Source organism: Homo sapiens, chromosome 6 (genome assembly GCF_000001405.40).
Source record: "Homo sapiens chromosome 6, GRCh38.p14 Primary Assembly".
Taxonomy (NCBI): domain Eukaryota; kingdom Metazoa; phylum Chordata; class Mammalia; order Primates; family Hominidae; genus Homo; species Homo sapiens.
Window position 1 is genome coordinate 31,456,741 of NC_000006.12, and position 16,271 is coordinate 31,473,011.

General features: G+C 46.9%; 2 long non-coding RNA genes and 1 pseudogene across 2 annotated transcripts, besides 2 other annotated features; 2 read left to right on the forward strand and 1 right to left on the reverse strand.

Annotated features, from left to right (window-relative positions):
• On the reverse strand, positions 5,106–5,750 carry HLA-X (major histocompatibility complex, class I, X (pseudogene); annotated as a pseudogene).
• Positions 5,735–6,934: an enhancer, noted in NCBI's record as "BRD4-independent group 4 enhancer chr6:31430252-31431451 (GRCh37/hg19 assembly coordinates)". NCBI's record gives its function as "activates an origin of replication core promoter dependent on BRD2, P300/CBP, MED14 and CDK7 cofactors, and independent of BRD4, by STARR-seq in HCT116 cells {active_cell/tissue: HCT116}" and the evidence as "EXISTENCE:reporter gene assay evidence [ECO:0000049][PMID:35650434]".
• Positions 6,212–6,506: an enhancer, noted in NCBI's record as "tiled region #13996; HepG2 Activating DNase unmatched - State 4:PromP". NCBI's record gives its function as "activates a minimal TATA promoter and a strong SV40 promoter by Sharpr-MPRA in HepG2 cells {active_cell/tissue: HepG2}" and the evidence as "EXISTENCE:reporter gene assay evidence [ECO:0000049][PMID:27701403]".
• On the forward strand, positions 6,440–9,069 carry HCP5 (HLA complex P5). Its single transcript, NR_040662.1, has 2 exons — positions 6,440–6,539; positions 6,631–9,069. It is a non-coding gene; the product is annotated as an HLA complex P5 (long non-coding RNA).
• Positions 9,070–14,488: 5,419 nt separating this feature from the next.
• Positions 14,489–15,668, forward strand: HCG26 (HLA complex group 26). The gene has a single exon (NR_002812.3). It is a non-coding gene; the product is annotated as an HLA complex group 26 (long non-coding RNA).
• The last annotated feature ends 603 nt before the right edge of the window (positions 15,669–16,271 follow it).

Genomic DNA, 16,271 nt, shown 5'->3' on the forward strand with positions numbered 1-16,271 from the left:
ATATATGTGTATATATATACATATATATATACACACACATACACATATATGTGTATATATATACATATATATATATATTTACATATATAGAGAGAGAGTCCACGGTCTTTTTTATCTATTTGAGCATATTTAAACTATTGGTTTAAAGTCTTGGTCTAGTAAGTCCAATGACTTGGCTTCCTTAGGGACAGGTTCTGCTGATGTATTTTTTTCTGCAAATGGGCCACTTTCTTAAACTTCTAAATACCTCAAGAATTTTCGCTGAAAACTGAACACTTTGAATACAACAATCTAGTAACTCTGGATACCATATTCTTTCCACTCCCCAGAGTTTCTTGTTGCCACTTGAGGATGGAGTTGTTTCTTAGTGACTTTTCTAAACTATTGTTAAGCTGTTCTATGTCATGTGTGGTCACTAAAATCTATTCTGTTAGCTTCATGGTCAGCTAGTGATTTGACAGAGGTTTCCTTAAACAGCTGGAGCCAAAAAAATAAATAATTAATGCCCTCCCAGGTTTTGCAGATGGACTCTGAGTTGGGACACTTCTTCAACACTTAACCAGGCAGTTTAGACGTCCACCTTAACCTTCACTGGCTGCTTACTTGGAGGCTAAAGATCACCCAGAGGTAAAAGCCTAAGGTCATCTCAGGTCTTTTTAAAGAGTGTGGGCATCCAGGGCTAAATATCCAGTGTTTAGCCCTGGCCATGTATGTGACATTCTGATTTCCTCAGTATATGCGGGATATTTTGAAAGCCATATTGCCTTATGTATCTCCATCTCCAGCCTCTACCTCCCTAGGCTTTTCAGTCTGTCTGCTGTTAACCCATCCATCATTCCATGCCCCAGGCATCTGTGACTAGTATTTGCCTTTAAATGCTTTTGACAAACATTGCTATGGAGACCTCTCCAATCTTAATAAAGTTCCAAGAGGAGTGAAGCAAAGACCAGCCTCTAAGCTGATCTTTTTGGGGGCTATCATACATGTCAAAGGACACAAACACAATTCTTTGAAAAGAAAGTTCATTTTGCCTTTTCTGGCATCAGGAAACTACACCAGGAATGTGGGACACCGTCCCCATGGCTGCCTCATAGCTGAGGGTGTGGGGGTGGGAGTGAGTAGGTGGCTAAGGAATAGTGGCACATGCTCTCCTACCAAAATCTAGAGCTCCTTTTTCATTAAGCACTACTTTGGTTGTTGTAAAAAAAAAAAAAAAATTCATAGACTCCAGAGTACAGAAAAACTTAATTTTGATAGTTTTTTTCCAGGTTAATAGTTGCTTTAGTTGGGGAATGTGTTGTTGGAGTTCTCTACCATTTTTGGTGAAGGCATTACAGTTGTCTTTTAATAAGATTTTAAAATTATGAAAAAATCTTATGTATCTACCCATGTGCTTACCATTTCTGGTGCTCTTCATTACATATTTGCTTTTGGTATAATTTTCTTTTTGCCTGAAGGACTGAAACACTTATTACAGTTCGTGTCTGCTGGTTATGTATTTTTTCACTCCCTATAAGTCTAAAATCCCTTTTTTTATAGATATCTTTAGAGTCTGTTAAGTAGCTTGATGCAATCATTACACATGGTATACATATATCAGTACATCACACAGTACCTCATGAATGTATTATTATATGTCAATTAAAATTATACATATATATATGTTTTTAAAAGGTTTTTTTTCTGGAAATAGAATCTAGTTTGACAGCAGTTGTCTTTCAGAACTTTAGCGATGTTGGTCATCTGTCCCTCATTTGCATTGTTTCCAATGAAATAACTGCTGTCATCTTTATTATTCTTCTTATGTGTTGTGTTTTGTGTTTTTCATTTTTGCTTTCTGCTTTTTCAATTTTCTCTCCTTCTCTGGTTTTGAACAAATACATGTTACTCTCACTCACAACTATAAAGCGAACTTAGGAAACAATCTATAGGGAGAGTTTGTTGATGATTGGTTATACATTTTCAGAAACAGTTGTTTATTCCTTCCTTTACAAAGGCTAATTTCCTTAGAATATTATTGTATTGAAGAATGTCATAAATAATTTTATTTGTCACCTGGACCTGGTGCCAAGATACGTGGTCAAGCATTATTCTGGATGATCTTTTTAGGATGTTTCTTGGATATGATTAACATATAAATTGCTATACTTTGAGTAAAGTAGATTGACCTCTATAATGTGGACAGGCTTCATTCAATTCATTGAAGGTGTAAATTGAATGAAACACTGACCTTCCCCAAGCAAGATGGAATTCTGTCCTGGGATTTGAACTGCAGTATCAGTCACCTGACCCATAAAGAGCTGGTTGGTTTGTGTACAGCATTTGCAAGATGAATGGACAACACCCTGTTTGGAAGTCTACCCCTTTGATCAAAGAAGATAAAAACAGAACAGCTCTTGTGGGCTGAATTGCAGGGTGTTTTCTTAGCAGTGATGGAAGAATTGAACAATGATAAAAGCTCCTATGTTTTAGTTTTACTGACTTATGGGCAGTGACTGATGGCCTGGCCATATAATTAATTAAGAAAGCAGTGGAAAACTGGCCTATGAAAAGAATGCCCATATGAGACACAGTCCTATGGAAATCACTATGGTAATTTGAGGGGTGCATTAACGTAAGACATGTTGATGCCTGATATAGATTGGATGTTGTCCCCACCCAAATCTCATGTCGAGATGTAATTCCCAGTGTTGGAGTTGGGGTCTGGTGGGAGGTGACTCAATCATGGGGTGGTTTCTCATGAATGGTTTAGTACCATCCCCTCAGTGCTGTTCAATACCCATCAGAATAACTCCCTTCCAGGTTTGGAAGGTGATTGAAATCAACAAGCATTTATCTCTAAGTGCTTGCCAGGTGCACCTGTAGTCCCAGCTATGAGAGTGTCTGAGGCAGAAGGATATCTTGAGTACAGGCATTTGGGTTTAGCCTGAGAAATATTTGAGTCTAGCCTGGGAAACATATCAAGACCACATCTCAAAAAAATTTACATTTGCTTGTGAAGATCACCGGGGTCTACGAAATAAGTAGACACTGAGGCTGTAGCAATGCAGAGATGGGCTGAATCAAGACATACTCCCCTTGCATCCCCCACCTCTAATAAGCACAAAATACTCAGTAAAACTGTTCTTTTTAACAAGACTGGGCACAGTGGCTCACACCTGTAATCCCAGCACTTTGGCAGGCCAAGGTGGGTAGATCACTTGAGATCAGGAGTTTGAGACCAGCCTGGCCAACATGGCGAAACCCTGTCTCAACTAAAACTACATCAATTAGCCAGGCATGGTGGTGCACGCCTGTAATTCCAGCTACTCAGGAAACTGAGGCAGGACAATGGCTTGAACCTGGGAGGCAGAGGCTGCAGTGAGCCGAGATGGCGCCACTATACTGCACCCAGGGCAACAGAGCAAGACTGTGTCTCAAAAGAAGAAAAAAAAAGAAGTATTCTCTTTAACAAGAAAAGAGACAGAGACAGAGACCAAAAAAAAAAAAAAAAAACGTGAATGGGAGGTATTGCCACCATGTGGACCACTGAGCCACATTACACTAGGAAACACACTTGCCCAGAATGTCCAACAATGGTCAGAGAAATTTGTTCCTCAGAAGAAGAGTTTCAGAGAGAATTAAAATAGTCATTTGAAACATTGAGTGTATAAATCAGGAGCGGGGAGACATAAGCATGAAGGGCGGGCCTATACACCTTCATGAGTGTGCTCGCTCTTGACATGAGTGTGGACAAAGGAATGTCCCCACTAGAGAGTGTCCTCTTTTTCCCTGCTGGATCAGGGAAAGGTGCTGGTGTGATTCTACATACAATTCTTCCCTAAAAAATAATAAATAAATAAATAAATAAATAAATAAATAAATAAAAACAATCCTTCCCAAGGCCAGAAGACACTAGAATTATGACTATACTTTACCTCAACTTGCTTTTCTCATACCTGATGCAGTGGTCTCAGGACTAGGGATGCAAATAAAAGTCCAGGCACAGGAATTATTCCTGAGCAAGAAACCGTTAACATATTTAAAAACCATTATGCAAGACTGCCTAAGGGCCTGGAGTAGATGTGCCTTCACTGCATCTGGCAAAGTTGGAGCTAACATTGAATGCAGCTGTATTGCCTGGAAGCCAGATAGCCAACCAGTTCTCTGCCTGAATAACCCTAACCTCTATGAACTGGAATGGACTGATGGGAGACACTCGCTGTTACTAGCATGGTATAGCTCCCTGCATAGGCCAGCACAGCAGGAAAACCTAATGTCCCTTCCAAAATGAGAAATATTTGGTATAAATGCAGAAGAGGAAGAATAGTAGCTGAGGTGAAATGAATGAATAAATGGGGTATGTAATGAGGAAAATCCAATATAACATGATCTCCTCAAAAGAGGTATAAACAAATGATGATATTGTCTTTTATCTCATTTTTACCAGATGTCTGAAAGGTTGAAGCCGTATGTTGCTGAGACCATTGCTATTTTTGGACTGCAATGGGCGAATTGATAATGACTAAACAGGACTCTGGTAATGGGCCAGTATCTTTTTACTGCTATGATTCTTCTGCTATAGGAGATCTGTGGTTGGCCAAGCAAAGGGGCTCACATTTATAATTTCACCACTTTGAGAGGCCATGGTGGGAAGATTGCTTTTGAGGCCAACAGTTGCAGAACAGCCTGGGGCACATAATGAGACTGCATTTCTACAAAATATTTAAAAATTAGTCAGCCATGGTGGTGTGCACCTATAGTGCCAGCTGCTCAGGAGACTTGAGGCGGAAGGATCACTTGAGTCCAAGAATTTGAGGTTACAGTGAGCTATGATTGTGCCACTGCATTCTACCCTGGGCAACAGAGCAAGACATTGTCTCTAAAATAAAATAATAAATAAATAAATAGAAATTATAAGAAGAAATAATGTGGTTAAAGACCAGGAAGTGATCTGTGATCCAATAAATATATTTGGTCTTTGCCCCTAGTCCCTGACAGGCAGGTCCTAAAACGCTTGCAGTCCCTCAGTGATAAGCATGATTTTAATATGGCAATGAGATGACTATGGGGTGAGGGGCTCCTAGATAGTTTCAGGATGGAGGCTGCTTGCCAGAAACACCAGCTGTGATTAGAGGATTGGAACTTTCACTGCCATCCCCATCCTCTGGGGAAGAAAAGGGGGCTGGAAGTTGAGCTCAGTCATCAATGGCCAATGATTTCACCAATCTTGCCTACACAATGAAACTTCCATAGACACCTCTAGACAGTGAGTTTTGGAGAACTTCCCAGTTGGTGAGCACATCCGCATGTCCACGTGCTGGGAGGACGGCACACCTCATCTCCATAGAGACAGAGGCTTCTGCGCTTATATCTTTCTGTAAGGCAGACACCCTTGTTTCTAGGAGGGACCTAGGGTGGACTGTGGATTCTTTCTCTGGGGCAAATAAAAATGTAGAATCAGAAAATTCAGGCACTTTGCACTCCTCATGGGACACTCCAGCAGCACTCACGTGACCATCCTGAGAATGGACAGGACACCTGAGGTGGGGAAGGGAGCACAGAACCCAGACACCAGCCTGGACACAGGCACCTGGGATAATCTCCTATTCCTTGGAAAGTTCCAGTATCTGAGGGAGGAACAGTGACTTCTGGTCCTGACCTGAGTGGAGACCGAGGGACTCAGAAGAGCTGGAATCAGACCCCCACACACACTGAGTATGAGTCAGAGAACAAGGCCTGAGAGAAAAAGTCACAGTGCCCAAGACTGCTGCAGGGGTCAAAGGGGACTGCTGATCAGTGTTCCAGGGATTTGCTCCAGATTAATCTGAGTCATGGAAAAACTGCCTTTCTTTTGTTTCTAAACAAATACCTGCAAAGACAAAAGACCACATAAATCCCCAGGTGCACAACTTTTTCAGATTTAAAGAAAAAACAACCCCCGTCTTTCCCTCCATTCCCAGGAGAAGCTCACTCTGTGGCATCAAGCTGCCTGGGTGAGCTCTCTTCTAGAAGAGTCCAGGGGGACAGGCAAGGAATGGGAGGCAGGAAGTCCAGTTCAGGGAGGGGGATTCTGGGATGAAAAGTGAAGGGAGAGGGACTGAGCCCATGCTGAGGGTTTTTCTCTGGTTTCTCAGACAGCTCCGGGGCCAAGATTCGGGGAGACATTGAGACAGAGCGTTTGATATAAAAGAAGGGGGTAAGAGCCAAGTCCCAGGGCCCGGAGCTTGGCTCTCTGGGCTTCAGGCCCCGAGGGCGGTGCCTGGGATGGGCCGGCTCAGCTTTGGGGTTTCCCGAGCTCCGCTCTCTCTCTTCCACCTTTCCCAACCTGTGTCAGGTCCTTTTACCTGGATACTCATGATGCGGCCTCAGTTCTCACTTCCATTGGGTGTTGGGTTCCTAGATCAGCCAATCAGTGTCGCCGCGGTTCCTGGTTCTAAAGTCCTCGCCGGCCCACCGGGACTCAGATTCTCCCCAGACGCCAAGGTTGCGGGTCATGGAGTCCCGAACCCTCCTCCTGCTGTTCTCGGGAGCCGTGGCCCTGATCCAGACCTGGGCAGGTGAGTGCGGGGTCGGGAGGGAAAAAGCCTCTGCGGGAAGGAGCGAGGGGCCCGCCCGGAGGAGTAAATCTGCACATATATTTAATTACAGATTACAATTACAATCAAGGCAGAAATGATCTCATTTTTACATTACAACTCTGGAAAAGGCAATAGACTGAGATGCAAGTGTGCCCCCAAGTGATGGGCAGAAGGAGAGAAGGTGTTTTGGATGCATTCTAGAACACAGGTAATCTAAGGAGAGTTGATCAAGGCCGTGGAAGAGTCCTCCAGCCACTATTGGCCATCAAAGGAGTCCTCTGTGTCCCAGGAATGGTCCTGCTTTGGTGTCCCTGGTGTGACCCATCACCCGCTGGGAACAGCCTGAGAGAAGTAGGGCCTCTGCACCAATGCTGCTGAGGATGTCAGAGCACAGGAACGAGGCCTTGGGAAATTACCTGGAAATGCGACTGAAATCTTCCTTCCTGAGGGGTCTGGGCTCTTGGAAATCAAACCCTCTCAGGTTGGGTGGCTGGACGATTCTCCTCACACTTACAATGGGACAAGGGGAACCAGGAGGCCCCCAAGGGGATCCCTGGGTTCCACACGAACTCCTCCTACCCTCATTGTGTGACAGCAGCCATGCCTCCTCCTGGGGATCAGGATCTATTACCTGTGCCTGGAGAGGAGGGGACTCCTCTTCTCACCCGCTGGTCTCTGGACACATACTGTCCAATTCCCCTGTGGCAGCTGTAATGTGTAGTTCAATGGGCACTCATTTGTCCCCTTTTAAGGGTACCCTCCTTTAGAATCCAGGACCTTCTACCCTGCAGAGTGTGGTTTTGGGAGAGAAGTGCAAAATCCCACGACAGGTGAGTTGAAGGAATGGGATATGGAGCCACATCCACTTCCACCCCTTGGTATCTGGACCCACGTGTTCTTCCTACTGAGATTACAGAACTGTAGAGATGTCTTTGATTTTTAAAATGCACCATGTCCTGAAAGATGGCACCCTCCCACCCGCAGAGTGCTTCCTGCAAGCTGGCGTTGAGCTGTGCCTATAGAAGCTCTTTTCAACATTCTTTATGGCCAGCAGCCCTTGGTTGGTGCAGATGGTGATAGGACCAGTGGGTCCCACAGCATGGCCACACTGCACCTCCTTCGCTGTCAAGTGGGTCCCCCACGAAGATACTGCACGGAGAGCAGTGCCAAGCCTGTGGATCAGGAATATCAACAGCCCCCAGAGAGTGGTGCTGGCTGAGGGTCTGAGAGCAGGACAGGAAAACCCACCTATGGAATAGGTGCCTATCCCTGTGAAGATGAACCTCTGGCCCTTCCAGGATGGAAGGAGTGCAATGTAGTCAACTCCTCACTTAGGGTCTGGTTGGTCACCTAAAGAAATAGAGCCCTACCAGGGAAGATCATTGGGTTCAAATGCTGATGAGTAGGACATTTAGAGGTGGCAGTGTCTGGATCTACCTTGGTAGGAGGGAGTCAGTACTGTTGGACCCATAGGTAGCCTCATCCCTGCCACTGTGTTTGCTCCATTTATGTACCCATCCTACCCGGCCTGGGCTGACCCATGGGGAAGGCTGGCTAATTTCAGTGCTTCTGCTTGGTTGTTCAGGGCCATTTCAGGTTTGGGTGTTTTCTGGGGATGTTAACATGGGATTCAGGCTCAACTCACAAGAAACTTTTCCATCTCATGATGGATGCTGTTGGGCATGTCCAATGTATGACTTCATGAGTTACACAGATGCTAATTCGTAGGGGCACTTGGAATCACATGGTTGTTTTGTGTCCCATGGTCAAGCATTCTATCTTATCAGGGCCTACAGTAACATGCCAAAAGTTGCTTCCAACATATTTCTCTGCTTTGGATGGGGCATATTTCTGTGCTGTGGATGACATGGCCTTACTCCAGAATCCCAGGCCCTCCACTGTGACTCTCCTACTGGTGCTTGGTTCAGCTCCACCCCAAATCTTACCCCACCACTGGCACTTTCAGCACCAGGGGGTCTGAAGGATGGTGACTGCGCCATGGCCTGGATCTGCTGCAGTGTCCTTTCCTGTGGAGGCTCCACTCAAAGCTGGCATCCTCCTATGTCACCTAGAGTGTGGGTCAAAGCAATACACCTACATGTAGAATGTGATGTCAGAACTCAAACAGGCTCACCAGGCAGTGTGCTTCCTTCCTTGCATGAGGATGCAAGATGCAACAGTTTGTCTTTCACATTGGAAGGGACACCCCTGGATGCCCCTAACCACTAGACCTGTAAAACTTCACTGCAGTGGCCACTTCTGAATCTCTGTAAGGTTTATTTATCTTCACCCTCTGGAGAGAAGATGTTTTACCAAAGCCTCTAGTGTACCTTCCTCCTCTTACTCATCCATCCCAGTCAACATGATGTTGTCAATGAAATAAAGGAATTTAATATTCTATAGTATATCCAGGTTCTCCAGATCTCTTAAGACTGTACTATAGAGGCCTGGGGAATTATAATAGCCCTGAGGCAAACTATGAATTAAAGTGTTGTGGATCCCACATGAATCACTTTATATCCACTTTTGTGTGTGTGTGTGTGAGGCAGAGTCTTACTCTGTCACCCAGGCTGGATTACAGGTGCACACCACCATGCCTGGCTAATGTTTTGTTTTTGGTTTTGGTTTTGTTTTTGTTTTGTTTTTGGACAGAGTTTCACTCTTTTTGCCCAGGCTGGAGTGCGATGGCATGATCTCAGCTCACCGCAATGTCCGCCTCCCAGGTTCAAGTTATTCTCCTTCCTCAGTCTCCCAAGTAGCTGAGATTAGAGGCATGTGCCACCACGCCCGGCTAATTTGGTATTTTTAGTAGAGAGAGGTTTTCTCCATGTTGGTCAGGCTGGTCTCGAACTCCCAGCCTCAGGTGATCCGCCCTCCTCTGCCTCCCAAAGTGCTGGGATTACAGGCATGAGCCACCACACCCGGGCTATATCCACTTCTAATTGGAATGGAAGGGAATGCACTCACCACATCCACAGCTGCACACTGTGTGCCTGAGGCCTTATTAATCTGCTCTACCAGATATATCCAGCCAGCATGCTAGCTGCAATCAGGACTCCTACTTGGTCACATCTGGAGTAATCCCATTCATTCCTTAGTAATCCCATTCATTCCTTAGGCTCCATCAGGCTTATTTGCTAAATTACATGGAGATAATAGGCAACCCCAACACCACCCCACATCCTCCAGCTCTCTAATGGTGGTGCTACCCCCACAGCACTTGCAGTGCCTTCCACAAGATTCACCCTGGGACATACGATCATTTTTGATTTGGCCAGAATGGAGGCAGTTTCAGAGGTTTCCCTTTGGCCTTCAGCACAATGAGAGCCCTTACTCCACAGACTAGGGATGCAGTGTGGGGGTGACTCCAGCTGCCAGGGCATCAGTGTCAATTATGCACTAGGAGAATGGGGAGATAACCAGGGCTGGGTCTGTGGACTCAGTGACCCCATGGTGAGCCGTGATGTGTCCAGGTTTATTTCGTGGTCTCCGTAATCCCCAATGTGAGGGGGTCATGATGATGCTGTGGGCCTCTGGGCATCAATGTCATCTCACACCCAAAGTCAGTACTCCCCCAAGTTCTCCCTATTTCCCTTTCCCAGGGTACAGTCTCTAAAGTAAATGGCTGTAGGTCCCTTTGCACAATGGCTCAGGGAATTGACCCAGCATACACTTGCCACAGGGTTGCAGGGTCCTTCCTCCTAGGAATATGGACACCTCCTCCGTCACTGGGTTCTGAATCTGAAGCTTGGCTGAGATCTAGGCACTGAGAATGGATCATGATTTTGTATTGGTTCAAACACCCTCAGCCTCCTGCTCCTCAATTCTTGCTTTCTTATCATAGATACCAAGCAGTGCTCTTGCTGGCTGCCCTTCTGTTCTGACCCTGGAACACCACCCTCTATTAACCTTACCCACAACTGCAGGCAGGTCAAGCCCCCTCGGCTGCTCCTCTGGGGTTGCCATGGTAACCGTGTCCTCTGGCTTTTGCAGGTCACTGCCACCACTTGTTCTCTATCTCTTCAGGGCCACACCCTCTCCGTGGATATTAATGAGCCCAACTCTGGGACATCTTTTCCTACCATCACCCTCAGCCTTCAGAGAACAATACAATGAAACTTCTTAGTGATGCAGGTCCCTGTTGCCAGCACGTTCCTGAGGCTCTGGTGGAAGGTGGGCCCCCTGGGTCCTCTTATAAAGCACGGTTCCGGTGGGCTTTCCGGCCTCACGTAATGTCTCCATCCCACAGGCCAAATTCCCCCAGCCTCATTATTCCCTCTTCTACATGTTCCGGGGCAACTAAGTCAGGTCTAGCTTGTGAGATACCGGCATCATTTTTTCCCAGTCTACATGGATCACCCCAGCAGTGGGTTTGCCCCATGCCCTGGGGTCTTTGAAAAACCCATGTGATACGGTTGGCTGTGTCCCCAACCAAATCTCGTCTTGAATTTCCACGTGTTGTGGGAGGGACCAGGAGGGAAGCAATTAAATCATGGGGGCAGGTCTTTCCCATGCTGTTCTCATGATAGTGAATAAGTCTCATGAGATCTGATGGTTTTAAAAGGAGAAATCCCTTTCGCTTGGTTCTCATTCTTCTCTTATCTGCTGCCACGTGAGACATGGCTTTCACCTTCTGCCGTGATTCTGAGGCCTCCCTAGCCACATGGAACTGTGAGTCCATTAAACCTCTTTTGGTAAATTGCCCATTCTGGGGTATGTCTTTATCAGCAACATGAAATGGACTAATACATCATGCCTTGAGAAAGTGTTCCCAAGTCAAAGGATTTTTATCTATCTAGCTTGAAATTCTGTCCCTTTGATCAAATGCCCTCAAATTCCAATCCCAGAAGTGTTCCCCAGGATCCTATGTGGACATGCCAGCTAGTTCCTGCAAAGCTCCTGAGTGGAATTCCCGCTGCATTATAAGGGTGAGGCTTCTGCAGCATCTTCCAGCGTAGGAAGTGGGAACTATTACTGGAAAAGGCGAGCCTTCTCTGCATGCCCAGAGGGTACTGGAGGGCACCCATCTGATAATGCTGTCCTAGTTTGCAGAATCTCATGTTTCCCCACCAGGGCCCTGATTTTCCACAACAGGCCTGCCTTGGCTGAATGTCAAACATCTCTGGAGGTCTGTAACCCTCACAATGATATCTTCAGCTACCATTCCACACTATCTACCCTTTCGCTACAGGAAACAAGGGCCTCTCCATGAGACACTGCAGAGGCCCTCACACATAGCCAGTGACAGCTGTTAGAATCCCTCAGATTCTCATTCTCCTTTTATAGGGCATCAACACAGCTGAGCAGTAACCAGCCAGCTTCCCTGTTGTAGGTTTTCCCTCCCACCCTGTCATTATTGTGTAGAGGCTTCTATCACACCACCTGCCATAGCACCCGGTAACCAGGGCATCTTCTCAGGTCGGTGCTGGGGATATCCACAGCAGCTCAGCTGCACCTTGTGCCATGGACTTTCTCTGTCCCCAACCAACGTGGATGGCATTCTTGGCCTGCCAGGCAGTGGGCAAGCTCAGGCCCAATCCCCGTTTTTGTCTGTGTCTATGGACCACTCCTGAAGCCACTTGTGTTGGTTAGCATCCCCTGAGGAGCAGACTGCAATACAGAATTAAATGTGCCAGGATTTATTAGGGGAAATAGCCATGAAAGAAATTGGGGAGCAAGACAGAAAAGACTGGGAAAGCCATAAGACTGTGATGCAAGTGGCTTTTTTATTTTTATTTTTTGAGCAATCTCAGCTCACTGCAACCTCCACCTCCCAGGTGCAAGTGATTCTCATGCCTCAGCCTCCCAAGTAGCTGGGATTACACGCATGCACCACCAAACCTGGCAAATTTTTGTCTTTGTAGTAGAGGCGGGTTTTCACCATGTTAGCTAGGCCGGTCTCAAACTCCTGACCTCATGTGATCTGCCCACCTTGGCCTCCCAAAGTGCTGGGATTACAGGCGTGAGCCACTGTGCCCAACCAGACTGCAATGCAAGTTTAAACCCCAGTGAAGGAGAGAGGGAAGGAAGTTTGGCTGAAAGTATCCTAGACCCAGTGCAGGTTAAGAGAAGTTCAGTAATGGTGAGCCCTGGAGCCTCAGTGGGCCTTTAAAGGAGAGACAATCCTGTCTTTGTTTCTCCTGTTCTCTCAATTATTGAATCGAAGAAGCCAATGGCAAGTATGGTCTGAGAGCAAACGTAGCAATAGATTTCAGGCGGCAACAGCTGGAGCATCATCAGCTGTGCTTCCTCTAGCTGAGGGGCTGGGATGTGCATTCTCAAGACTGCCACAACAATCCAGTGGGGAGAAAGGACAAAGGGTAATGATCAAAGAGAAAAAAAGGTATGAACTGATGAACTGATACCTTTAAGTAGATGAGAAGGATGATGTTTGGGACACCAGTAGAGGGACTGCCTCTGGCTGGGAGCGGGAAGGTTAACCCACAACAACCATCCATGTGGTAGAAGACCCAGCATGCAGTGCAGCTGCAAATGCATGAGCAGATGGAATCTGTGAAATTGTCTTCTAGTGTGTTCAGTTTTCTCAGTGAAGTAGGAAGCAAGGTCATCAGCTGAAGTAAGAATGCAGATAGAAGGTTGGATGTGTGAGCAGAGAGAAGGTGTGTGAGAGTCACCCAGACCAGTAGGAGGCTGAGGGTGAGCCATGCTTGGAGAGGGTGATTGCTGGTCGTGGTGGGGGGTCCCCATGAGGTTTGGGTCATGAAGTTAGAGAGAGAAGTCAGCATGCTGTGTGCTGCTTTCCAGCCTCCTTCAGCTCATGGGGGCAGGTGCAGCGTAGGCAGAGGTGGATTCCACCAGCTGTGTAGTTTTGCCAAACAAGTATGGCAACGCAAGGGAGGGGCAAGGGAGGGATGGAAATTATTTACAATAGAATTCAAAATGGCTGAAGAGGGAGGAGAGGACATCAAGGGTGAGGGACAGTGAGTAGATGGCAGGATCACTGGATTGGGAATCCCAGAGTGGGTGGAAGGATTGTTGGAATTGATGTACTACAGGGCAGACTCCAAGCCTGGAAAGCAGGCACATAGGCAATGAGTGGTTCACTGATATTACGTCACAGCATATGATAAAATGATAGTATAAGTATCCTCAGAGCCTGTGGCCTCCGTGCAAGGGGATGAGTGGAAAGATGGTCAGAGAATGGGAAGTGTGAGATAGAGAGTATGGAAGGGCTGGGGTTCTTGGCCATGATGAGACCTAGGACTCTTTAGGGGAGAACAACAACAAAGCAACAGGATCCTGGTGTCAGGGACAGACCATGGCCATGGCGGGATGATAGCAGCTCTCCTACAAAATAATGCTTATATGACAAGGGCATGAGATTCAGGCAGAGGGAGGAGAAGGTCATGGAGGAGAGGAGTCCCAGCATCTGAGAAGCCAGAGGGCGATGCATCCTCTCTGCTCTATGGGTGTTTATTGCTGCCATAAAAATTAACACAAAACAAGTGGCTTTAAACAGCATCTCTTTATCATGTCACAGTCATGTGTGTTACAACTTCAACAGTCTCATGGGGCTAAAATCAAGGTAAGGGGAGGTCTGTGTTCCTTCTGACTCTGAGGAAAAATCTACTGTCAAGCTCATTCAGGTTCTTGTCTGAATTCACTTCCTTGCAGATAGGACTGAGATCCCCACTTCCTTGCTGGCTCCTGTCCAGGGGCCACCCTTAGCTCCTAGAGCCCTCTCTCAGTTCCTCACACATATCCCATGCAACATATCCAATCCTCCTGCTTGGAACCTCTGACCTCCCCCTTCTGCGGTGTCTCCTCTGCCTTCCTCCTCTGCAGCATCTGACTCCAGCCAGAGCAGCTTCTCTGCTTTTAATGGCTTGTGAGATTTGATCGGGCCCACACAGATAGTCCAAAATAATCTTGCAATTTTAAGGTCCTTAATCTTCATCACATCAGTATTTTCCCTTTTGCCATGTAATGCAACCTACTCGTGGGTGCCCAGGATTGAGATTGGACGTCTTTGGGAACCATTACTCGGCCCATCACATCTGAGTATGTTGAAGTCACCGAGGATCAAGGAGACAGCACTGCTGGAGAGGGCGATAGTGAACCAGGAACTACAAGAGTCAGGACTGAGAGGAACGGCCTGGGGCCCACAGGGAATGGCTGCAATGAGGGGAGTGGGGCCTGAATCTGATGACAGCTTTGGGGGCTTAGGAAGGAAGGAGGCAGAAAGGTCTGAGAACCACAGTGAGGAGTGAGGATGCCACCCCACCTCTGGGCCAAGGGTACAAGGTCCCTGTGCAAACTCCCCCATGTGGGAGGACTTTGGAAGGGACCACATCCTCTGGCAGACACAGACATCGCTGGAGCTGTGAGGTCCAGGAACATCCTGAGACAGGATGTGGAGGTTTTGCTGATCATGGGCTGAGAATTCCAAGGGGCACAGCGGGAAGACTTCTGGATTTGGGAATGGGGTATGGGGAGACAAAATAGGGGTGTGCAGAGCCTTGTGGGGATGTGAATGCAGGGTGTTTGGGGGACCCAGTGTGACTGACACAAACAGGGAAAAGGCATGATGAGCTCAGTCCTGGTGGACTCAAGGCAGATGATGGTGCTGAGGCTGTGGGAGACGAGGGAGGAGGCTCAGGGGTGGCTTTCACCTGGGCTCTGTCCATGGAGGTGAGGACAGGGAGATAGTTGGGCCTCAGTGCTGTGTGGACCCTTTCTTGTCTCCCTGATGACTGGATGGAGGGCCTGGAGGAAGAGGGGTCTTAGAGGATTCACTCATGTCCCTGGGGGAGGGGGACTCACTCCAGGTCTCAGGTCTGCACTGACACATTTGTTTGTGGCTTGGGGCTGCCTGCTATAAACTATTGGGGGTTCGTCCATTTTGGAGTTATAACCTAAGGCAGAAACTCAGATGGTTCAAATGTCCTCTTCATGAAGCAATGTTATCAGCGTATCATTTAGATTGTCTTGCAAGAGTCTCATTTGTTGTTTTTCTAAATGCCTGCCAATATTGTTTGAAAATCTACAAATGTGATAAATGTATCTTCAAAGTTAACTGGTTGCAGGTTGTTTAACCTTATATGTACAGTTTCACATATGTATAAAAACAGTAGTTTGGGCCTCTTATATTCTAATGATTAAGACTTTAAGCTGTGTACACATTGCAATGCAAGTATGCGTCATGCATAACCCTAGCACTAAGAGTCAAGAGGGAAAGTACCTCTCCCCTAACATTTTACAAAGTTTCTGTGTTCTTTTTCCACTGAGTGGGAACAAGTCAGCTAGTGAGGAACATGAGGCCTTTGGCCTCATCTAAAGTTACTTTAGCTACCAATTGTGAGAAGCACTGACCACCGGGAAGGCCTCCCTGCCTGGTTCCTGGACCTCTATACCATGGCAGAGGCCATCTTCCCTCCTAGTGCAGAGTGATGTCCCAGGTAGTGACCTGGTTAGCCATTGTCCACTCTCGGGCAGTTTTGCCTTCTAAGACATTGGTTTTTCTCTGAGGACCTCCCTGTTTTCAGATGATCAAAACTGGGGCCATCCACTCCCTTCTGAACCACCTCTGCCCAGTGGCCTGTGGCTGTGCCCTCAGTCACAACAGGACACCCCTTCAGAACACGCTGCAGGAAGCCGACATCTCTACACAGGCTCACACATGCACAGTGTGTGCACGGAGCTTTGGTTCTAGTTCAGGAAGAATGGGAGGAGGCTCACTAGTCCAACAGA